General features: G+C 37.9%; 1 protein-coding gene across 9 annotated transcripts, besides 2 other annotated features; it reads right to left on the bottom strand.

Moving 5' to 3' along the window:
* Nucleotides 1-3,554: 3,554 nt before the first annotated feature.
* Nucleotides 3,555-23,841, bottom strand: MACIR (macrophage immunometabolism regulator). Of its 9 annotated transcripts, none has more exons than NM_033211.4 (3): nt 23,319-23,452; nt 16,218-16,307; nt 3,555-6,318 (listed from the first exon to the last, which is right to left on the bottom strand). In NM_033211.4, the coding sequence occupies exon 3, from the start codon at nt 6,293-6,295 to the stop codon at nt 5,675-5,677; it is 621 nt and encodes a 206-aa protein (NP_149988.1). In that variant the 5' UTR covers nt 6,296-6,318; nt 16,218-16,307; nt 23,319-23,452; the 3' UTR covers nt 3,555-5,674. The 9 variants fall into 9 exon arrangements, with proteins under 9 accessions (NP_149988.1, NP_001303898.1, NP_001303897.1 ...); NM_001316969.2 differs by lacking the exon at nt 23,319-23,452 and adding an exon at nt 23,029-23,185; NM_001316968.2 differs by lacking the exon at nt 23,319-23,452 and adding an exon at nt 22,424-22,791.
* Nucleotides 22,692-23,071: a silencer, noted in NCBI's record as "silent region_16211". NCBI's record gives its function as "represses an Ori minimal core promoter by ATAC-STARR-seq in GM12878 lymphoblastoid cells {active_cell/tissue: GM12878}" and the evidence as "EXISTENCE:reporter gene assay evidence [ECO:0000049][PMID:35858748]".
* Nucleotides 23,282-23,791: a silencer, noted in NCBI's record as "silent region_16210". NCBI's record gives its function as "represses an Ori minimal core promoter by ATAC-STARR-seq in GM12878 lymphoblastoid cells {active_cell/tissue: GM12878}" and the evidence as "EXISTENCE:reporter gene assay evidence [ECO:0000049][PMID:35858748]".

Genomic DNA, 25,008 nt, shown 5'->3' with positions numbered 1-25,008 from the left:
AAAAGCCCAAATTGTGTTTTTAAAAATGCCCAATTGAAAATAAAATACATAAATCCACCAACTAATTCAGGGTTCTATTTGATCATTTCAAAAGATAATCTACATTAGGAAACTTTTTGAGCAAAATACTTTCCATATAATTTTCTTATACAAATTATATCAAAAATATACATTTTTAAATGTGCTTCTGACACTAATTAATTAAATAAACCTCTCTCTGTCACTCTCACCCCACCTTGCCCCAGAAAAAAAGGGAAGGGTAATGCAAAGGGAAAAAATATCACTTAAGTATCCATTTATTTATTCATTCTCTCACAGCTCTTGCCTTCCCTGCCTGCTAGCTCCAAGGCTTCAGTTCTTTAACACTACCTCTCCACCTTAACTCTTCTCTTCTAGTTCTCTTCAGTTCATCTCCGCAGCCTACTGAGGAGACGGGGAGTTAACACCTGAACATCACTAGCATTCCCTGGTGCTCCTCAGATTCAATTATTTTGTTAAGATGCTGATTTTCCCGTATTTGTCATCTCCCCAGGCTTTCCAATGAAGGTACTTTCAAGAAATATATCTTTACATGTCAACTTTTATACAGATCAGCAATGTAAGTTAACACATCCAATCAGCCAGCCAGGCAGAGAGAAAAATAAACAAGATTGTTCTTTCTTAAGACTTCAGCTCCATGGGATTTAAGCTCCCCTCTCTTAAATTGTTAGTCTACAAAATATGTGCTTGGGGTGCCTCTTATGCTATCTTTCCGCTTTCCCAATAATAAGCACGTTCTTGAAGGTAAAAACTGTCTTAAGCCCTTCTCTTCCCAAAGTACTGGCATGTGCTCAGTAGATGCCTTATGGGTCACAGTGTGGGACCATTCTCATCTGTTCTCTGGTTAGAGGACAGGATCCAGAATGGTCTACAGATTGGTCTACTCCAAAAGCTTCAGACTATTTTTTAAATTTACCTTGTAACCCACTGCAAGGGGTGTGGAGATGTGATAGGCAAAACTCTTATGTAATGCTGATCAGTTCAGTAGCAGCTGCCTAAAGTGCTAAGAAAGATAATGCATCCACATCTGGACTCTAGGGGGACTGTGCTCTGATAGATTAGTGATGTCTGCCACATGCATAAGCGAGGAGCACGGTGGTCGGCATGCTCAGTATTTGCCATCCCAGCTCCAACCCCTTAGCCAAAACCTGAACTTCTTTAAGTTCAAAAACTTCTTACTGTGTAAGTTCCTTTCCCTAACTGAGGCATTAGGCCAGGGACAAAAGATGATTCAAAGTCTTCCAAATATATATTTAATGCGTAATCCTTTTACATGAAAGTTTGGTGAAGAATAGTTTTCCTGGCCAATCAGGCTAAAGGTCACTATCATGAACCCAGCGTTCCCTCCTCTTTCCACCGGATCACCATAAGAATCCTCTCTTGAGAACATTCAGAAGGAACTTTCAAAGTGCAGGTGGCTTTTTCACAAAAGCAAAAGCATCAAAGCTCTTCTCTCCAGAAGCGACTCCAGCCAGGATCACTTAAGGATTCCACCAACTGCAGCTACTCTCTTCCAATCTAATAGATGCTGAGTTCCCTTTTCTCCTTCTGTGCTTTCCCATACATCTATACATCAAGCACAACCCCACGGTCAGGGGTGACAACATTCAGACTTGGTTTCAGACTTTCTCTCTGAAACCATTTAATAAAACGTTGCACAGCCGGGCACGGTGGCTCAAGCCTGTAATCCCAGCACTTTAGGAGGCTGAGGCAGGAGGATCACCTGAGGTAAGGAGTTTCAGACCAGCCTGGCCAACATGGCAAAACCCCATCTTTACTAAAAATACAAAAACTAGCCAGGTTTGGTAGCGGGTGCCTGTAATCCCAGCTACTTGGGAGGCTGAGGGAGGAGAATCACTTGAACCCAGGAGGTGAAGGCTGCAGTGAGCCAAGATCATACCACTGCACTCCAGCCTGGGCGACAGAGCAAAACTCTGTTTCAAAAAAAAAAAAAAAAAAAAAGGAAGAAGAAGAAGAAAAAAAAAATCTTGCACAAAGTCATTTCACAATGGCAAGAATACAAATTCAACATCTCTCCAGGCTAAAGAAAGAAGTGTCCTTGGGGGCTCAGCAAACTCAAAATAACAAATCAAGCTCATTCTTCTTTTCTTCTGTTTCCAGTCTTCTCAGCCAGAAAAATCCTTAACTTTTTTCCAATGTAAAATATCACAGAAGTCCATTTCATAATTCTTATCTAAAGACGTATATTACAAAGTGAAGTGCATCATTAAGTGCTGACAGCCTCCACTTCCAGCTTCATAATCACACTTATTATATTTCCAAGGCAATCTTCCTCATCAATTTCCATTTCTCTAATCAAATTACATTGTTTAAAAAGGCAATTTTACTTAATACTTGCTGTCCTCTCTGCATTACAGTAATGTACATGCTTGCTCTCTTTCAACCCCAACTCTTCTAGAGCATTTATGCCATTTATAAACTGTGACAGTCTCCCCTCCTCTGTTCACTGAATGAGAACCACTTAGACCAGGGTCACTTAAAAGTTCCTTTAAAAAAGTTCAATGATTATAATAGAATAAAAGCCTTTCTGAGACAAATATATGCTAGAATAAAAAACTAATAAAAAAATAGGTTGCTTAAGATTTGAAGAAATATTTTCTTTAGTGGAAGACTTATTTGCCTCTAAAACTTAACTCAGAATCCTCAAAAAGCTTCTCAAACCTCAAATATTGAAATCACCTAAATAAAGTATCCCAGGGAAGGAAAAAGACACAGTGATCACAGATGGGCATTATAGGGCATAAGAAGCAATGGACAGGACATGATGGCTCTGGAACAATAGCCCAGCTGGGCTGGAGTCCAGAAGATCTGGGGGTTCTGAACTGGTTTTTACATGTTAAATCCATCCCCATAGAGCCTCTTCTTCCATGACTACTGACTATGGGAGCCCTGCACCCAGAGGTGTAAAATGCAACCAAATGGAAGTCAGAAGAGCAAAAGAAGCTCACCTCAGATTGAGGCAAGGAATGAAATTTTACTGCAACTTTATGCATCATCTGAGCTTCAAACAAACGGTACTTTTGCAAAAGAAGAAAAAAATTAAAGTTATATAGTGCTGCAATGTTTAAGGGCAAGAACAGTAAGATAATATCATCAGGTATATTCTGGCCAAGTGTGCCCCATTTAGTGTGGAATATTAAATTGAATAAAAAATGAAAAAGTTAAAAAATAGAAACCATGTCAAAAGGGATTGTTTTTCAACTAAAAGAGATCCAGCCTACCCTTTTTTTAAAAAAATTGGTTCTTACCTACCATAGGCTACAATTCCATGGGGTGCAGAGAAAGTAAGACTGAACTAATAAAGGGGTTCTGCAAACACATTGTGAAAATTACTGGCCTAGAGTTTTGAAACTTTCTTTCTAGAAAACCAAATTTAAAATTATATATCTTTACTAATCAAAAAAGAGTAAGTATGCCATATCTTATACTATTAACCCCCCTATTTTTGCCACAGAGTTTCACCTGTCTTTCAGGAAAAAACAAAACAAAACAAAAAAAGCTACAAATTTTTATTTAGCTATTATTAAGGAACGTAGGCACACGGACAGAACAGGTCTCATAGGTAACCAGTTGTGTTTCCTAATAGGGTGAATACATATCATTGCCATGAATACATCTTTTATCATAAAATGCCAATGAGCATCAAAAGTAAATGGTTTGATTGTTGTTGTCACTGTTTTGTTTAAGAAAAATAGGGCCTTAAAATAAGTGCTTCAGTGGAATTCTTGAACAGTAAGTAGCCTGTTGATAGTGGACCTAGTTTAAAGCACCACACAACAATGTGTGTTTACATCACCCCTTTATTTCATAGTTAGAAATAATACAGTTCCACAGGGTAAATTGTCAATAAATAATGGTGTTTAATCATTAAACATAAAAATCCCACTCTTTGGCATCTGACAGGATTCTATTTCTTGTCAAACTAATGACTGTATAGATATAGCTAATCTTAGTGATCATTCGTCAATACAATATGTTACAAAGGTGCAATTTACTTTAAAATATACAACAGCGAAACATTTCCAGCCCAACGAGAAATCTGATCAACTTAGTAAGATATGGGCCAACTTCCCCAAGGCTCTTTCACGTAGTTTGCCTTAATGAAAGTGTAATAAACGTTGATTAAGAGTTCCTAGGGTTTTCTAATACTTACTTTGCTCTAAATAGAGTTTGCCATTCATTCTGGCTAAAGAAAAATCACAATTGCACCAGGAATGACCCACTCATTAATTAAAAGGTGTTCTTATTTTATAAGCAAGATTGCTAATACCTAAGAAACTCACAGACCCCAAAATAAAAAGCAGTTCTGTGCTGCCAGAAATCCCAATTCAGTAATAAATTGCACCTTTAAGAGTCAAAAATGAGGGAAAAAAGAAATGGAACGTTTACAAAAGGTAAGTTACATACATTTTTTTTTCAAAATATATTCAAGAATAGTTGAGCTGTATTTGTTACTAAACCCAGGGCATTATTTCTTTAGCAACAAATTAAACCAGTGCAATTGACATAAATTGTTAAGTAATCCAGGATTAACCCATTAAAACAGTAGAAGCACGTTAGGCTCCTACACTAATCCTAGAAACTGGAATTTCAGTGAGTGCTTGTGTTACACAGAACTAAAACTGCAATGACCTGATGCCATGCTGAATGGTATCACTTCATACTTAGTTTAATCATTCAATAGTACAAATCATGAGTTCCTCTATTAAACTATTATTCACTTACAGAAAATTCAGATGCAAACAGTATTATGCCTATAATCCACAATTAAAAGAATCCTTTCCCATTTAAAGTTCCAGGTGAATTTTAAGTTAGAAAATAAGCACTAAGGAGAGTTTTTTCAACTTATGAAAACGTCATATTGGAAACTTTCTGGAAAAGTTTCCCCCGCCCACCCATTGTAAAATAAATACTTTGTATCCCAAATTTAATTTTATTAAGACACACTTTAATAACGCTATAAAGAAATATTTTACAGCCATAGAGATCAATAACTTTCCATGCGGAAATAAAAAATTCATTGCTCAATAACATTATTGAGGCAAGTGAAGAAAGATTACTCTCTTGTCAATCTGAAATGTTAATTTTTTCAGTGCAAAACCAGTTATAAAATATTTAAACTCAATATTTAAAAATAAAAAGTGGTCCAATTCAGCAATGTTCAAGTTCTAAATTTCATAAAACAAATCATTACATACATTTTATAGTAAAATACAGAGATTCAAGAAGTACTTGAGTACTGAAGATATAAATTTCTAATGAATCATATCAAGTCAGCAACAACCAAGCAGGTAACATTCCCAATTTGAGTGTCAGAATCATAAAGATGAAATTACTGTACCAAAGCCTTTTTTTCCTAGCTAAAAAGCTATACAAACTAACAGTCAACATTCTGTTTTCTTTGCAGTTGCGTGCTCTAGAATGATATCCCCCCCCCAAGTACCTGTGATTTCATTCCTGTATTCAAATTTGACCCAAACAATTTTTATGTTCCAGGAACACTTAGCTGATATAACCATCTATAGTGTGAAGAGTCATGTACAGAGTACAGCAGTGGGTTTTTTCTAGCCAAGCGTAGGCTGACCTAAATTGGTTTAAGCTCTCTCCAAGTCATTCATGTATTATTCCTAGCAAACACACGGTCCCCTCGGAGGGTTAGGTGTTGAAGCTGGTACTGTAGCACTTCTGTATCAGCTGGCTCCTTGATCATTTTATCTAGATTGAGGTAGTCCAGAGATTTGGAGTGAGCCCTCTTACCTTTAAGAAGACAAAGAGGCAGAGGCCCATGGAGGGCCTTGTAAGGTTCATAAGGTAAAGATTTAGTGCACTTGTCTCCTGAGCTTGGCATCCGCCTTCGCCTCCTGCCATTGACAGCTGGAATCTCGTATGGCTGGTAGTACCTACTTCTGGTTTTATACAAACGAGAGGAACGGGCAAGTCCTGCATCTAGCTGTTTGGAGCGTAAGGATGGCATGGCTTCTGCTTTGCTCTCTTCACCTCCTGTGCACTTCTGAGCTAACTTCAGGAGTTCCTCGCCAGTCGTGAAGCCAACCAAATAGTTAGAGTCCATGTGTAGGATCTGGTAGCCTGACACGGTCCTCCGCATCGGGGAGCAGGGTGTGCTGGAGCAGCGGGGCTTCTCTGCCTCCGCCTTTCCCGGGGAGTTGGCCTCAGCCCCAGGGAAGGGCAAGGTGGTCAGGGTACTTCTAGACTCTCCATTAATATCGACTTCCATTTTAAGCACCAGTCTGCACAATCCTAAAAGTAAACAGACTTAGATTAGAAGAATATAATGCACAGAGACTTGGGCCAGGCCAGGTCCTTTTAGAAGGCTCAGGGAGCATGAAGTAACACTTGCCTGAAAGACAGTCAATGTACCACTGACATGTAACTATGTCTACTAAACGTTTCAGAGCGGGCATGAAATGACAATACCTCTCTGCCTTTAAGAACTGAAAGGCAAGTTAAATTAAAGTCTGATGTACTACCAAAAAGTTCAGATGGAGAAGCAAACAGAAAACAACAACAACAATACTTCTCTAAATTCCGCACTCTATTCAATCACATAAAGTTTATTCCTTAATGCAATATCAAGCGAGTCAAATACAGATCTCAGCATTAAGCAAATGAAAGCCATCATACATAGTTTCATAAGAACACACAAAATATTTCTGGCTTGAAAGTTAAATTTTTCCATTATTTAATTTAAAGTAAGTGCTTAGCTCTTGACACCTGCAATTCTTTTCAATTTGTCTTTAAGGAACATATAATAAAGTTGATTGAGCTGACGAATTTCTGCAAGGAATCCAATTTAGACCTAAAAAACTATTCTTAGAGTATGAGGAGTCTTAGGGGAAGGTTCCCCCAAACCTTGTAAATGTTCTTCCTTCCATATCCCCAATGAATTAAAGAATATCATTTTGTAGTTTAAAAGTAATCCTAAATCCAATATATCACATAATTTTTAATACTAAAAATGTATAAAACATCAGATGTCATTTTAATTGACTACTTAATCATAAAATACACCACAGGCTTGACATTCTGTTTTTCAATACCCAAGACGTTGTACTTTTCAATAGTTTCATAAATGGCAGAATAATTCACAATGAATAGTAATATTGTTCCTTACGATTATTACATTACATAGTTTGGAAATCTCCATTGACAAGAAATAGAACAAATGGCGGCTAGGTTCCTGAAAGCTACAGATAGATCAAATTTGGGAAGCTAAAATACTAAGGGAAATAGTGACAGTTTCATTTCTGAGAAACTATTTGTACTTGCTTTTTAATTGGAAGTAGATAACACGGTTTTAAGTATCTCAGATTGCTAATCAAAATGACATCAACTGATTTTAAGATGAAAAATTTACTTAAAAATTAAATAACTCTTACGAATCTTCTCACTAGACAAATAACCACTTCCTATTGAAGTATTTCTTAAAGTTTGGGTATTCATTTAAAATCCAAGCAATTAGAAAGCTTTAAAAAAAAAAAACAGCACTTTATTCCACCACATGCATGTTCTAATTTCCTTCATTAGGAGATTGTGAAGTTACCAGATACCACGCTGTCCTTCCTATGATCCCCACTGAAAACAAACATTTATTACAATATTTGAGATAAAGCAAATGCCAAAGGATCTATATAGTATTACTCACTATTTATTCTCAACCTTAGACTATTTGCCATTTTTATTTCACCAAAATACTCTAGTCCCTGAACCCTTTTAGATTTAAAGTAATCAGCTTTATTATATTTTTAATGTAAATATTTTTATTTATATTATTTATATAAAATAAATTATATTTGAGGAATTTATTTCTCTGTTGATAGTACTGGAATATCAGGTGACTACCAGCTACTCTGATATGCATATAAGACTTCTTAGCTAATAAACTTTAGAGAGCCATGTGAAGCCTCAACAAATTTTTATGCTAAACAAACAAATATTTACTCGGAGTCGAATGACAAATTTATCCTTCCTTTCTCACTAATTTTGTAACCCAGAAAGAATGCAAGAGGACATAGCCAAGGCCTCCAACCTACGTAACCTGACTGGCAGCTACAGGTAGTAGCTGTTTCTCTGATATTTCATCCTGAGAAGGAAAGGAGGGTCAGTGAGGCAAAAAAAATAACCAGGGCCATTGAGGAAAGGGCACACACTCACACCAAGACTGGGCACCACACTCAAGGAGAGTCACCAAGGCAGTGACACTCAAGCAGTCTGTCTACTCTGAGACTCTGGTCTAGGTCTCTTTCAAATCTGGCACTCCATGACAACTCTTGGAGTCCCACCACGCAGCTTACTGCATTCTCATTTAGTATATTACAAATTTCTTTAAATCTATGACTTCAGACCCCACACATTCCAAATTGGGTAATAATTCATACAGAGGTGAGGCTAAAATTCATCTTTTTTGTCTACGAGGGAAAAAATTTGCTAAGTAAGTTAATAATGCACAAAGTTACAGTAATGAGGAGGAGGCACAGGCTTCTGAGGGCAACAGAATCATCAAAAGTTTTTCCCCATACTAAGCCAATCCTGCTGCATCAAGGTAAACTGTCAGAAATTCTGAGAATCCTTGGGGGTTGAAGATAAAGCCTAGAAGGAGACAACGGTTTAGAGAAATAGGCAGAAATAATATATTAGCTAGAAAATACCTGGAAGTACCTGCAAAATTAGAAATGTGAAGACTTGTGTAAAGGTCAAAATCTGATTTGATAAGAAATAGACACTATTGTTAGACAAGTAACTCATCAGTTAAGTTTCCAACAGCCAATAACACCATAAAAAAAAAAAAATCAATTGGCTTGGGAAGAGAACAATCCAAACAGGATCTTCACACATCAACCTGGTAGACAATGATTTAACCTAGGTTGTTAAGTAGAAGATACAGATGTGGTTTAAGAGCTCTGGAAATTTCAACCAGGCAGTCTGGTGTATGAAATCTACCATATTTTACTGAGGTAGACAAAACATTCACTATGGAAAACAGAATCTAATCAGAAAGTTGAAAGAATAAGCATTTCTAATATCCTCCAACACAAATACTCAGTGGAGCAACTAAAGCCAATGCAAAACAGGTCAGTATTCTAGGGAGATTCCTGCGGGAGAGTCTCAAGGCGCAGGAACATGAAAAGGCTGACTTTAAATATATATAGCTGCTATGTGCTGAACTTCTGATGAGCAATTCTCAGAGCTGGAAAACTGTTTGCACTTTTTGGCTATCAAACATCAGTATTTTTGCTCCAAACTACAAATAGTGTATTCTCAAAACTAACAGCTCATTGGGTGGTTCATTGGTCTCTGCAATATACTGCCACATGTACAAGAACAACTTCAGGTCTCGATATTCACGTAGGAACATGAACGCTGGAAACAAGACTCTCACAAACGGCTTCTGTTTTTCTAAAGGATTCGTTTTACTTATATATTGCCCTTCTACACACATCTACTATGCTGCACCAAGAAAGCTAGGTAGAGGCTGGATTTCAGAAAAGACAGCCCTCAATGTCAAATATTTCATTTGTAGTTGGGCTGAATGCTGAATAAGCAGCATACCTCCCATTCTTCTGTGTGACAGAAAACAAAACTTCTTATGCTACTACATTCCTGAGAATTTCTTGACTAGATTTACATATTGAAGCAAGATCCTGAGAACAGTTACAGAATCAACTTGCTCAGGTTATTTTTACAATGGGCAGAAGCTCTTTAGACACTGTCCCATCTGCAGAGGAAGAAGTCTGGGTACCTCCTAACTCCAGAATTCTGGAAAAAAAAAAAAAGACACTAAAGACAGTAAAAACTGAACAGTCTCAAAGTCAACCTATCTTGATATACAGATGTCCAACATTTTCCACAGCAAAATTTCTTACTGAAAGACATCCATCAGGAAACTCAGCTATGGTGACTATAACTAGAGATGGCCTGTGTTTAGCAGTATATTCTTCAGGTTTTACCATGAAAAAAACTGCTTACAGACTTGTTATTTTTAATAAGTCTATGCATGACTCAGCATTTTGTTTCATATTGTCAAATAAACCTTGTATCCAAAAAGCTTGCTGCCAAGATAAACAATTACAAAGCACTCTCACAAATTACCACTACAGGTACCATGCAACAGGTGCCACACTTCCCACTACATCAATAAGAATAACCTGTGAGTCAAGAAATCAGGTCTAATGCCAACTGCTTCATTCCAGAGCACTAAAACCCAGAGATCAAAGATACCTTTCTTGCTTCCATTAATGCCTTTCATATATAATTTAAAGCAAAAATAGACTGTAAATAGAAAATAGAAAAAGTATTAATTTTATAATTACAGAAGCAGCAAAATGTGGAGAGAAGAAGCTAAAACAGAAAATGAAACAAGAATAGAAACGTCAACTTGTAATTGAACAATGCTTTTGAAATTGAGCTTCTTAAAAAGTACCAGGAACAATACAATTTTTCAAATGACACCTAAGGTCTTCAATATCTAATTCCCTCACAATCCAACCAGTAACAATAGCACCAATGTATTTATAAAACATGAAAGATTTGGCAACGTTTATAGATGCTTCTATATTGCTGAAATTTACGTGGATCCAACTAGATGACATCAGACAAAGGTAACAATAATTCTTTAAAAATGTACACAGTACATTTTTAAAGCATTGGGTACAGAATGAAATTGTAAATTTTGGCTAAAACTAAAGCAAATAGGTCCAAATCACAACACATGTATAGGAGAACCTGGTGCACCAGGATAAGCACGTTCAAAAGCCTGTAACCCTTATAGAATCTGCATAGGTCTGAATACTCTCTGAGAGGCCAAACCTAAATTTGGAGCATAAATACCAATACTTTCAAAATATAACCTAAATGCCCTTGGCTCCTTAGACCAGCTTTGAAAACAGGTGGTAAATTTGACAAATGGTATAGAAAGAATTCTTTTTGAGAAACACCGTATCCTAATACCTGTATTTCATTTAAGAAACTCAAAAAATTAATTGCTTCATTAGCTTTCCTATATATAGAGTTCATTTATACATCAGCAGCATGCCTGTTAAAAAAAATTCCAACTCCCCAAACCTTTAGCTGAGATGTCAAAGGCATGAAATTCTATTGTTAGACTCATTCCGCCAAGTTTAATATTGCTCTTTTTTGCTGTCTTCTCTTAAAACACCTTTATTTTTCTCTATTACAGACTGAATTAGTTTATCAAACATATTTTTCATGATAGGAGGGATATGGTAAAGGTAGGGTACAATGTAATTCTCATGGAGAGAAAGAAAAGCAAAGGTTCCAAAAAGCTGAGAATGTGACTTAACACCAAGATACATCCAGATATTGCCCACAGTCAGCTCCTATGCTATAGGGTGTCTGAGTCAGTGACACACTCCTAGAAACAAAAATTATTTCACTAGGCTCTAAGCCTGGGGCACCATCCTACTTGCTAATTTCTTTAACCATACACAGAGATATCTCAAAGAGGTCTTAGAGTCCATGAACATTTTTTATAACCACCTTTCCCTTCCAGAAGATACTTTCTATCTTTTTCTTACCTCAATAACCTGCTCAAGTGATTGTTTTTCCTTGTTATTGTTTTGAAACCGATAAAAGCAATGCATGCAAACTGAAAGCTCTCCAGTCCAAATAATTCATATTGATGTACTATAAATGGCAAAATCATTCTTCATCCCCTACCAATGCCGGACATATCTTGAGGAAACCCCTATTAATATTTTGGTATATCCTTCCTTTTTCCGCGTATTTACAAATGTAAGAGTGAGTGATTACTTCTTTCTACAATGAAAACATGCAAGAGTACACATAGGCACACATGAATATTTCTGCAGGAAATTCCAGAAGTAAAAATGCTGAGTCAAAGAACATGTACTTTTTAGATTTTTATAGCAAGCACCACAAAACCTTATTAATAATGTTTCTGGTTTTTATATGGATATTCTTTTATATAACTAAAAATTAATGTAAACACTTTTAAAGAGTATCATCTATACACTCACCAGAACAGTGCCTGTTTCTCCTCTTATTGCTTAGAAACAGGAATTATCAAAAGAAGAAAGGAGATGATGTACTTCCTTTTGTTTGATGTGTTTGATTTTTCCAAGAAGAAAAAGATAAATGAAAGGGACATGACTGCCATTCTTTGACCTCAAATCTCCTGATATTATTCTCACTTAAAACACTTAGATACCTCTTTAAAGAAATTTACAAACTAAATGTAAACTTTCCTTCAAAAAAGGAAAGATAACATTTCATTCATTTATATATATTACAAAAATATATACAGTGTACATTTCAAAAGCATTAGGTACAGCATTCAATACCCCAATACCAGTATTCTGGCTGAGACTAAAGCAAACAGGTCCAAACCATAACACACGTGAGTGGAACCCCGTGCACCAAGAAGAACAGTCAAGAAAGTAGACCTGTATAAAATCTGCACAGCTTTGAACACTCTTCAAGAGGCCAAGCTTCCTATCTATTTGGCACAAAGAGCAACATTTTGAAAATATGATCTAGATGCCTTAGCTCCTTAGACCAGCTCTGAAAATAGCTAATAAATTTCAGAACTGCTATACGAAGAATTCTTTTTGAAATTGCATTCTGAGAATTTTTAAAAATAAGATTATAAAAAAAATTCACTCCCAGTAATCAAAACACTGCTCCATATGCTTTCACTGTTTTTTTTAGCAACATACAGCAATACCATATAAGAGAAAACAGATATCAACATAACCATTTTAAATATGCAGAATAAAAATGTCATCATGTTAAGAAAATCCTTTTCAAGAAGTACTTGAATCAAACCATTTCTTATAGAGCCATTTTTGGGGAAACAGGGTCTCCTAAGCATGGCTAATACCAGTCTAGTGATATCATGATATCTAGAGCCACCTATTTTTGTGTTTTTTGTTTGTTTGTTTGTTTGTTTAGACACAGGGTCTTGCTCTGTCACCCATGCTGGAGTGCAGTAGGGCAATGATAGCTCACTGCAGCCTCAAACTCCTGGTCTCAAGCGATCCTCCCACGTCAGCCTCCCAAGTAGCTGGGACATAGGTGTGCATCACCAAATCTGGTTAATTATTTCTTTTATACTTTTAGAGATGAGGTCTCACTATGTTGTCCAGGCTGGTCTCAAGCAATCCTCCCTCCTTAATGTCCCAAGTAGCTAGAATTACAGGTGCGAGCCACCGCCCCTGGCTAGAGTGGTATAGTTTTAATGCCAGAATCATCTTGGACATAACCTACCTGGAACATCCACCTTGAAATATAGAGAAGACACTGAAACCACCAAGACAGGGTCCTGCCCAGAGCCACATAGATAGTTAATGCCCATAATTACAACCCAGGCCCCCTGGCTCCAAGTCCATGTTGTGCTTCTAGCATGTGGTTCCCAAACTTGTCTACACCAGAATCATGCAAGGAGCTTCAAAAACTGCTGATGTCTGTTTTCCATCCCAGATTTGTGATTTAACTGATCTGGGGTGTAGCCTGGGTTCTGCAAGTTGTAAAAGATTCCCAGGTGATTCTAATATGCATATAGGTTTGGGAACTTGTCAGATAGAACTTATCAGATAGAAGAGTTTCACTCTTTTAAGTCCCTCCTTTGTTTTTAATCAGTAATTACTGTATAGTCATGTTGGTGAACATAATTTTTGGCTGCTTATAATTGCTAACAACCTACCCCTAGGCCTTCTAATTTACTGTTCCTAATCCTCTGTGGGCTGGAAATATCTGCTAACCAAACGTGTTAAAACTGCATATAAAATAAAAATAAATCTGTGCTGAATGAGAATCGGGCTCCTTCATCTGCACACACTTTGGCGTAGTTATTTTAGCTACTTAGAAGCCTTTGTCAGGTGCAGCTACGTTAGAGAACAGTTTGGCATTTACTTATAAAATTGAATAAATGTTCATTAAACAACACAGCCACCATACTCATAGATATCTAACCCAAGAAAAATGAAAATACACGTCCATACAAACACCTGAATGTGAATATTTATGACAGCTTCATTCACAAACACCGAAACTGGAAACAATCCAAATATCCATCAACAGGGAAAGAGATAAACAAACTGCAGTCCATCCCTACAATGGATACCACTCAGCAATGAAGTGGAACAATCTGGGGAAACATTAAGTGAAAGAAGCAGACATTACACCTATATACTACATGTTTCTACTTACGTGGCATTCTGGAAAAGGCAAAACTATTTGCCAGAATCAATCATTAATTGCCAAGGCCTAGGGTGGGGAGAGGGGATAACTACAAAGGGGAAAAAGGGAATTTTGGGGGGTGATGAAAATGTTCTATTTGTTGACTGTAGTGGTCATTACATAACTGGATACATTTGTCAAAATGCATCAAACCGTACACTTTAAAAGGACGGATTTTACTAAGTTATAATAAACCTGACATTAAAAATAAATGAACTCTTTGTCACATATTTCCACGTTTCAGATGGTCCTCCAAATTTTAAATTTTTTTGTACCGTATAATTTTGGAATCAAAAGGAATCTTAATAGTTTCCCAGTGTATGTTTGAACACCTTCAGTGACAGGCAACTCACTGCCTCCCAAGATGACTCATTTCACCTTGTGCAGCTCTGCTAGAATGTCGATTTATTTACACATATATCTGTATGTACATGCATATATACAGTCAACCCTGTCTCCACGGGTTCTGCATCCATGGATTCAACCAATCACAGAGAGAAAATATTTGAAAAAGCAAAAAATTACATCTACACTGAATATGTATAGACTGTTTTCTTGTCATTATTCCCTAAATAATACAGTACAGCCACTATTTATGTAACATTTACATTGTAATAGGTATTATAAGTAATCTACAGATTATTTAAAGTATACAAGAGGATGTGCATAGGTTATAGGCAAATACTATACCATTTTTGTATCAGAGACTTACGTATCATCAGATTTTGGTACCTGGGGGAAGTCCTGGAACCAATCCCCCAAGGATGCCAAGGGACAACTGTATAAATATAGGTATATACAGAGATAGATGGATAGACATAGATACACATACATTCCTGTAGTTTCTACCCATTGCTCTAGTTTTGTGCTTTATTTCTATTAGCTGAGTCAGTGACCAGGCCACATTGTTTTTTATTCAATATCCTCTCCAAGTACTTTGTACTATGGTTTTCAAACTTCTTACTCTTTTCCTCAAAACTGAAAATTTTAGTAACGTTTCCAATTTTCCAATGTTCGAAAATGCATTTTCATAAATGTAATAGGTTTTATCTACTTAATGAGATTAAAGTATTTGTTTTTCCCTACCATTCCTTTGAATCATTCTGCTGCTGACTAGAAATTTAGAAATCACTTATTATGAAACTCCGCTTTCTCTAAGGATTATGATCTCTTTACATAATTCAAGGCAAGGATGCACAAAGATAATGGCCAAGTAGAATGACACACCAAAGCATGAAGTCACACTAATATAGTCTTAAGGATGCTAAAGAGCTACCATAGCTCATTATGAATTTCTTTTTTCCCTTCAAAGACTTCGAGACACATGGACAACTATGTCAGCAAAGATACACAGATGACACACTGAAAAAAGACAACTAAAGGAAGAAAACAGCATTGCATATTTTTAACCGTTTAAATTCAGGGTGTGATAAAAAGAATGTCACATTTTCAGTGAACTGCTGTACGACTAAGTGAAAATAATGCTCCTTTCAGACACCTGTTGGCTCATTCTTTATGTATGATAATATATAACCAGAATTTTTTGCAAATTATTTCAGCAATGTTTGGAGATTAATGTTTTTACTAAAATTTGCCCCAAATTGGAACAGTTACCTCTAACTACTATACTTTGAAATATTATTTCATAAGATCTTTACGTTGAAGAAATTTAAAGGAAGGAAAACTTAGCCAAACATTTCAAATAAAATAATGTTTGCATATTGCAACAATAAGTTCATTTCTCACCATTAAAAATTTGTAATTATAGTATACATATTTGCAATAATACACCAACATTTCACATTCACTTGATTAACTGACATTTCACATTCACTTGTTTATTTATGTAGTCTTTAAAAAACACATTATGGTATTGTGTTCATACAACTGTTAACGAACGGAAAAAGCAAAATATAACTTACCAGACTAAATCCCAGAAGATGTCACTGTACAATTTCCAATGAGTCCCAAGGGAACACAGACATAATAATTTTTCTGTTCTACTCCAGGTACTAAACATGAAATACAAAAATAAACCTTTAATTTAACAAGTAACACAACTTATAACATGATATCAATTCTAACTGCAAAAGAGAATAAAACTAGCAGGAGGTAGTAACATCAAGTATAGGTTATATAGGACCCAATAATTAATTAATTCAATTGATGTTGAGTTTGTTCACCTAAATGCATCCTCAAACATTTTATCATGTGTATTTCTCTGTACTCTGTTACTTAAATTCTACCTAGAGACTAGGAGTACCTAACTGGGCTAAATAAAGAGACAAGAAAAAGTAAGGTAATAAGTATTGGTTTCACCATCCTAGTCCTATTCATGTGTTCAACCGATTCACAGTACTCTATGGAAAAAAAATAATGCTTAGGCTAGGATCAAAAGCACAGGCCATAGTTCCTAGCTCTGGCCTTGCCAAGAACTCTGCCTCTTGACCCTGCATAAATATCAATCTCTAAAATGTGGACCGTAATAACCCCCCTTCCTCCCTAATACAGTTGTTAGATGGATCAAATGAAATGAGGTAGGTGAATGCTTTACATGCTGCAAAGCTCTTTACAACGTGTGATGCTATTATTATGCAATTAATTTTTGGTATCGACTCATTGTAGCCATAAAGCAGCAACAATGTAAATCTTTCATAAGACTGATGCGAGGCAAATGATTAGAAGTCTCTTGGATAACACAACAAAAAAAGAGAGTGACTGAAAAAGCACTTTTTTATAGTTACCACCTTACTTAAGGTTTCTAGCATCTCCTCTGTGCCTTCCCTCTCTTACCTGGGAAGTTAATGTGTAAGAGAATCTATCTTTATCTCCTACCTCCCTAGTTAATAGGGTTAATTTGCTGAGACGAGGAAAACCCTCCAAAGTCCTTTTCCACCTGTAAAAGTTTCTTTGGTTGTTGGTTTTCTGTTGGGTTAAACAACAGAAGCAGTTGGAGGGGTGTCAAATGAAGCGAGTAGATTCATTTTATCTATGTAGGTGCACAGAGCCCAAGAAGTGTCAACAGTACAATACCTTATCAAACAAAAGACAAACTGCAAGAAAAAAGGCAAGGAGTTTGTAACTTTATTACTTTCCCTACCAGTACAGGAGAGTTTTATCCAAAGGAAATAGATAATTACTGAGTTTAATATGTGCTTCTTTAGCTTGAGAAACTGGAAGGAGCCAATGCACCAAGAACTGTCACTCCAAGAAACTAGCATGTTTATCAGCCTTTGCAACTTCTTCAGATGTAGATAACAGAAACACTCCCTTTCATGTATTTTGCCACCAACTATTCTCAAATTGGGGAACCAAAAAATCTTGAAAAGTAAGCCTTGATTCTACCCCACCAATGAAGCCTCTGGTTTTAACACACAGTAAATTGTAACAAAAATTGTTACCTACAGACAAAATGTTTATTTAATATAATTATCCCAAAGAATTTCCCCAATACTAATAACATTCATCTGCATTTCTTATTTAATGGATTTTTAATGGGAAAGAGGAGTTCTAAAAACGAACATTTCTTTAGCATCTTCCTTATGTCAAAAGTGATATACAATTTATATCATTTAATCTTAACTACTCCATGAAGAAAATATTATTATCCCATTTTTAAAGTACTCTTTAGTAGTAGCCCTATTTTAAAGTACTCTTTTAAGTGATACTACATGAGAGTCACAGCAGGAATTGGAACCCCAATTGGTCTGACTCCAAAGATCATTTACTTTACACTCTGGCCTCTGTTCAATGATAAGACAACATGTATAGCCTTTTACACAATAATCATGATCCCGCAAAATGTATATCAAGTAATTTCTATAAGTGAAAATCTATTTTAAGTGTATGGGTAGGCACTTTATCTAAAAGCTTTATTGCCTCATTTGTGAAATGGTTGGGGGAACTACTTAGCTGCATGGTTATTTCCAACTTGAAAAATATTAAGATTTGGTGGCACATCGTGGAAAGTCTTATACAAAATCCTTCTGAATCATGGACTCTTTCTCCTATGAGCTTCTATTTTCTAAAATCATAAATTATGCGACAGAAAAAAAGGTATCAACCAATACCGTCTGGTTATATGGTTGGATATCAAATACAGTTATATATTTCCGCTTTATTTCTCAAGACTACATCTATCACAAAGTGGGATAGATTTCATTTATACTTTTATAAATGTCAATTTAAAACAAGCAGGAGGAACATTAGAAATATCTGAATGTCTTAATCCTAAAGAATAGTTTTGACAGTCTTAAATCTCATTCAAACTTTCATATAATTTGCCTCATGTATTTGGTGACATATTCTTCTTTTTAAGCTTTTAAATGCATTAGAAAAATATTTACACTTTCAAAGAGTTTCTTTTTCAACATCAAAAGAAAGAAATCAACTAAAACTTTAGTCTGGATTTGAAAGCAGAGGAGCCTTGAAGACATTACCCAACTCTTGCACTGGAGCTGATGTGTAAATCTAGGAAATGATCGGTAATTTCATAGTAAACAAAGAGTAGTAACTGATTATTCCTATTATGCCAGTGCCAAGCCAAAAATAGAATATAAACACAATGTCCAAGGGAGCAACACAAGAAAACCAAGGTGCAGAAGCTCCATTACATTCTCACTTTTTCTAATTTTGACTCTGCTTCCTGCTTTGTGGGAGGAGGAGGAAGAGCAGGAGGAGGAGGAGGAAGAGCAGGAGGAGGAGGAGGAGGAGGAGGAGGTATATGGTGAAAAAGAGGGAAAAATAAATAAAAAGAACAAGACCAGAAACTAACTAGTATAAGATTATACGTTTTCTTTAAGACATAACCCATAAAGAAATCTACTACAAAATTACAGTAAGGGTTCTACCCCCATCTCCCACTTATAACAATTAAAAGATTGTAATATAAAAATTCCCAAAACATGTACCTTTCAAATAACACACATTTTTAGAATACTTTAAAAATCTATAATTCTCTAACGCTTGCAACTGATTTTGGCCAATGTTCTAAACACTGAAGGCTTGGAAAGATATCAACAGATTTCCTCTCCAAAACAGTCAGCAAGAGGAAAAGGAATCCATGTGAAATTCTTAGAAGATAGACTAAATGCTGCATAAAAACAAAGACTGAAGTAAATAGAGCAAAGGCTACAAGATATAATAAATGCTTCCAGTTATAAGAAGCTGAAACAGAATGCAGTGGGACATTATCCCATAAGCAATAAAAATAGGAAAAAACCAAGCAGTGGCCAAGAGCTGCCCACAGACTTCTGGATAAGAAAGTCATGGGTGACTAAGCAAAAGACACCCAACATTTCACTGCAAGTGGAGCTTCTACAAATAGAAAAGTTTGCAAACATTAACTACCAAATGTATCGAATTTCTCAGGTGATAGTTATTATCACAGGTAAATAAGAATGCCTTTCAAAAGAAGAGTGACTATATATCTCAATTCATAGTCAATACCCTGGCATAATTATTGAAAGCAACCCCCTTTAACTCTCAAAAGTGTCTCAGTTTGGCTGTTTCATTTGTTATCCTACTCAAAAGCAACATGGAAAGGCAATGACTTTTTTAAAAAGGGAAACACCCTTCTGCTTGAACGGTGAATTCCCATACAGGTCTGAGTTCTTTCTTCGGGTGTACCCACTTAGATATTCACTTATTCAGTCATTCAACAATGTTTCTTAAGTCTTATTATATATCCCCACACTATGCAGGCACTGGTGCACATATAAAGAGATGGCCTGAGACTGGGTCAGAGGGGAGGGCAGACATGGAAATAAATCCTTCTAATAACAGTAAACCTGAATGGCACTAGGAACCCAAAAAAGGGAGTGCCTTTCCCAAAAATATACAAAGCTCCATTTGGAAATGTTTATGTCCATACAAAATTCGTAAACACACAAAAAAGTCGTGAATCTCAAGCTTCAGCACAGATCACTAACAAAACAGCAGTAAGAAAAAATTTAACAACATTGATCACAAATCATAAGACTATAAATATGAGGACCAGCACATAGCCCTTTCAAATATTGGTAAATAAAAATCACATTCATCATTAAAGTTTATATTATGAAAGGACAAATTTTAGGCAGAGAAATTGGTACAGTAGAAGCTGTGAGTTCTAATTCTAGCTATCAAAACATTTATTTTCATTTTTTTCATGGCCCTAACCTGAAGCCCACCAAAACATTTTCAAGAAAGAAAAGAAAGAAAGAAAGAAAGAAAGGAAGAAAGAAAGAAAGAAAGAAAGAAAGAAAGAAAGAAAGAAAGAAAGAAAGAAAGAAAGAAAGAAAAAGAAAAACAGGTAGTATTTTCAGAGTGGCTATTTAAGAAGAGACCACTAATGGAAAAGCACTTGGAAAAAAAACATCAATTTTTAAAAATTCTTTCAAAATAGTGAAAATATTTTGTAACCACTAATCTCAAAGACCACTAAAAACAAGTAAAAGATGAACCAAAACATCTCTGGAGGAATACTAACTGAACACTAAGCAGAAATAAAATGGCTTAACTGTCAAAGTACAACACAACAATGAAAACAAAATGTTTAGCTGCACCTAGATGCTCATCTTAGAGGCTTCTTTCAAATATTCTTACTTTACCATTTGCAACTTGCAAAAAGTAAGTCATCAATACTCTTTAAGAAGAGTTAACTAGGGTGTGACTTTTCTGAAACCATCCTTGACCTTACAAACAAACCATTAACCTTGCCAACTTTGTAAGATAACCCATAATTCGTTCAGTAAGACAAAAATGTGTTTCTCTTTCTAGTATCAGTTCTTTTAATAGCAATCCACCCCCTTAAAGTGCAGCACTCATTATCTTTCCATTTCTGCTAGTAAAAATTAAACCTAGGTTACTAATATCTTCTTATCACGTGGTGTCATCCTTCTACTTTTAGAAAAATACTCAGTTTCACTGCAAATATGACCGACAGTAAGTGGAACTAAAGGTCAACATGCAGCCTTTACAAGAAATTTGTCTCTTAGGAAGTATCATCAAAATGGAACAGGTGTACACTGTGGAATTGGCTAATCTTTGGGAAGGCTTAAAACCAGGTACTCATTTTGATAGGCTGGTGACAAAATCAAAGTTCTCTCTGGAGGAAAGGAGCTGATCCCCCACCTCACCCCCAGCTACAAATCAGCAAAGAAATTTTAAACCCTGTACATAAAGCTTTATTACTCTAACCATATTAAGTACTTTTGAGTTAATTTTATAATAGCTCTCTAAAATACACAGAAATATACAAAGAAAATAAGCAAATTCATTGACTGTTATATAATATCAATAAATATATCTTATACACTGAAATAATTACTAACACTTTCATTTGCAATTAAATAAACTGTTAGCAAAAGCATATTCTATACATCAATTATTATCAAATTAACAGGTCTCTGTATTCATTAACTCTTATATTCCATCCTGTTCATTTTACTTTTCAGTTTATAATGCATTCACAGTTACATAATTAAAACACTGAGGATTCTGTGACACATTCATTAAACTTAATAGTGTAATCATAAATCGCGGCCAAAAGCTTCTGCCGTAATAACCAATACTATATTTTGAAATGACTGGGAAAATAAACTTTGCAAAAGGGTCATTTCTACCTCTATAGTGTCAATCCAGCATTACAGGATTTGAGAAAATAAAACAACTAACAACCCTAAATTGTAGGTTGGCTCTTCGGAAAAAAAAAAAAAAGGAAAATGAGTCTAGTAACATCAGAAATATGCAAGAATTGTTCTTTCAGCTAGGAGCGGCAAGCACACTGTAAAATGCCTCCATTCTTCCTGCTCAAATAAAAAGTTCCCAGCTCCAGCTTTACCTGTGCACCACACACACACAAACACACACACACACACACACACACACGGAAATCTTGGTTCCACCCAAATCAGTAACCCACTGGGTTGAAAACTGAGGTGGAAGGAGAGGCAGGGAGTCCCTAAGCGTGTGGAACACTAGCAAGGGGAAAAGGACGGGGCCATCATTCCCTTCGCGTTCCCATCTCCTTTCTGGCGGAGACCTGCAGATTCCACCACTAGAGAGAGTTTGGCAGCTTCACAATGGGGCCGCGTTGCTGGAGGTCTGACTGCCACCCGCCTCGAAACCCCTCTCCTCCGCTTCCCACCTGCCCCAAAGTCCACCCGCGACAGGTGGGGCGAGGGTGGCAATGCCCGACATCTGCCGCTTAAGCTTCTGGCTCGGACCGGGCCCCAATCCACACGCGCACACACGGCCACAGCCGGCCAGTCCACCCCCACTGCACCGGCAGACACTCGGAGGGCGCGGGCGGCCTCGCACGCGGGTTGCAACCAGGACGAGGAGGGTCGGCGAGATCAGACCGCCGGGGCTCGCCCTGAGGTGCTATCTGACCCGGGCAGTCGCACCCTGAGCGCGGCCGGGCACGCAGCCAAAGGTGCCGCCGGCCGGGGAAAGCTACTTCTCAAAGGGGCCTCCAGGCCCGCTGCCCCGCGGTGCGGGAACAGCGGCCAAGGGAGGGAGCGAGCGAGCGTGCGCGCCAACGCGCCCCGACTTCCGCACCGCGGCACCGCGGGAGAGGCGCTCCGGGTCGCCGAGTCCCCGCACCTCCCCAGCGAGCGCACGACGCGCGCACACGGGGGCGCACGCCCCCGCACACTCACACGCGCTGCACACTCACGGCGTCTGCGGCCCCACCCCTGTGCCAGGGAACCGCAAGCTCCCCGCACCCCGCGCGGGCCCCACCCAGTTTACCAGACCCCAGTCCCCTTCGGGTGCCTGGGAACCGGTCCACCAAGGCCAAGGGACGCTGGGGCCGCCCCGCCGCCCATCGCAGAAGCTGGTCCGGCCGGGTTTCCCCAGCACCGCGGGCATCGTGCGCCCGGCCCAGACACGAGGCGGAGAGGAAGGGGCGGCGCCGCGATTAGGGCTGGCACTGGGGATCGGAGCCTGGGGCAAACCCACTCCCCCAAGCCCCCCATAACCACCACCTTTTCTGCAGCACAAAAGGTTACAGACGGAGCCGTCGTCCCCGTGCAACCTACCGATGGCCCAGGGCTCCGCTGCCTCCGCCGTGCCCGGGGCTGCGGAGCGGGAGACAGGGGCGGGAGAGGCGCAGGACTGCGGCGCCGAGATCCAGGCAGAGGCCGCCAGCCGAGCCAGCCGGGTACCCTCTCCTCTCCCACCGCGCTCGGCGCCAGCTACCGCCCTGCTTAGTCCCCGCCCCCTCCTCCGCCTCCTCCTCCGCCTCCTCCTCCGCCCGCCTTCCCGCCTCCTCCCTCTGGCTGCAGAGGCGCAGCCCGTCAGCGCTGAGCCCGCCTCCTGCGCCCAGCTCTCAGACACCCGGAGGAAGGGCGGGCCGGCTGGCTGCAGAAAGGCGCTAAGAGGCCAGAAGAAGTTGGCGGGGGTGGGCGGGGTTGTTGACTGGTGGTGGGGAGGAGGAGTCGCAACACCCGCTCTCTAGTCTAAACCCAGCACTCCAACTAAAGAGCTCCAACTTGCGGACCTGGGAACACTCCGGCTTCCTCAGTTAAGTGGTGTGCTGATATTTGTCACTTGTGAGTCTCTGCTTAAAGGGCTCAGCACTAAGCAAAAGTACAGAAAACTAGAAGGCCATGAAATTAAAAATTATAGGATCAGTCTACGAAAACTCGTAATACCCAGTGAAGGTGGCGGGGTGGGGCGGGGGGGGGAGTTCAAATTCAGATTCTGATTGGATTAACTATTTTTTAATTTGCACAAATGTTGATCTTGTCTATTATTGTAATAAATTATTTTCTTTGATGAAGATTTGCTTCTCTCAATTCATGTACATTTCTGCCGAACTGGTTAAGCTCAGCAATAAGAATATTTACTGGCATGCATATCCAAATTTACATCTCTCAATAACCATTCTGTGAGGAAGTAACCAATTATGATCCACATTTTAAAAATGCAGAAAGTTTAGGTCATATGCCTACTGAGTGGCTAAGGCTGAATGTGTACGCAGTCGGTGAACCCCAAAATTGTTTATAAGTGTTATAAATTTCGGTACCAGTGTCCAATCAAGAGAGTTTTATTTTTTAAAAGACAAAATGCTTTATCTTAACATAAAAGACATAAATCTGGAGTAGATTAATATAAGTTTAAACGAGTCTTGATTCACACTTGTTCCAGAATCTACATATGTTCCTGATAATATAAAGGCAAAAAATATATAAACACCTCTAGTCCAACAGAACCACTCCCGGAGGCCGCTCAGCTATAAGCCATTTTATGCTACTGCTTATGTGCCCTAAAATAAGTAAAGGAAGGTAGAGGGAAGAATAAGTTTTAAGGAATGTTCCCTAAACAATTTTACAAAACATCAGTTACTTTTTTTCCCGACATAGATTTGCATGTAATTTCAAAAATATAGAAGCTAGCACAACATAATATGAATAAATAAATGAAGAAACTTTTTTTGCATCAGTACATTAGGAGAATACACCGAGAATTATTTCCGATTATAATCTGTTTGACACAATAGTGTATTGTCCTGATGATCATTCTCATAAAACCACCTCCAAAACATTGTATATTTTATATTAAGAGACTTAATTTCATTTCTTCCTGTCTGAAATCTTATAACTTTTTCAGAAGAATGTCTTGTACTTGCCCTTTGCGCTGAGAGTTTGGCAGTGTGCTTTGGCCAAAAGCAATAAAGTTCCCCTCTTAGTTTATTAGGCTCAAGGCTAGCTCTCTTGAGGGCATTGT

The sequence above is a fragment of the Homo sapiens genome, chromosome 5 (genome assembly GCF_000001405.40).
Source record: "Homo sapiens chromosome 5, GRCh38.p14 Primary Assembly".
Lineage (NCBI taxonomy): Eukaryota > Metazoa > Chordata > Mammalia > Primates > Hominidae > Homo > Homo sapiens.
Note: the sequence above shows the minus strand (reverse complement) of the source record. Positions and strands in the feature narration are given on the sequence as shown.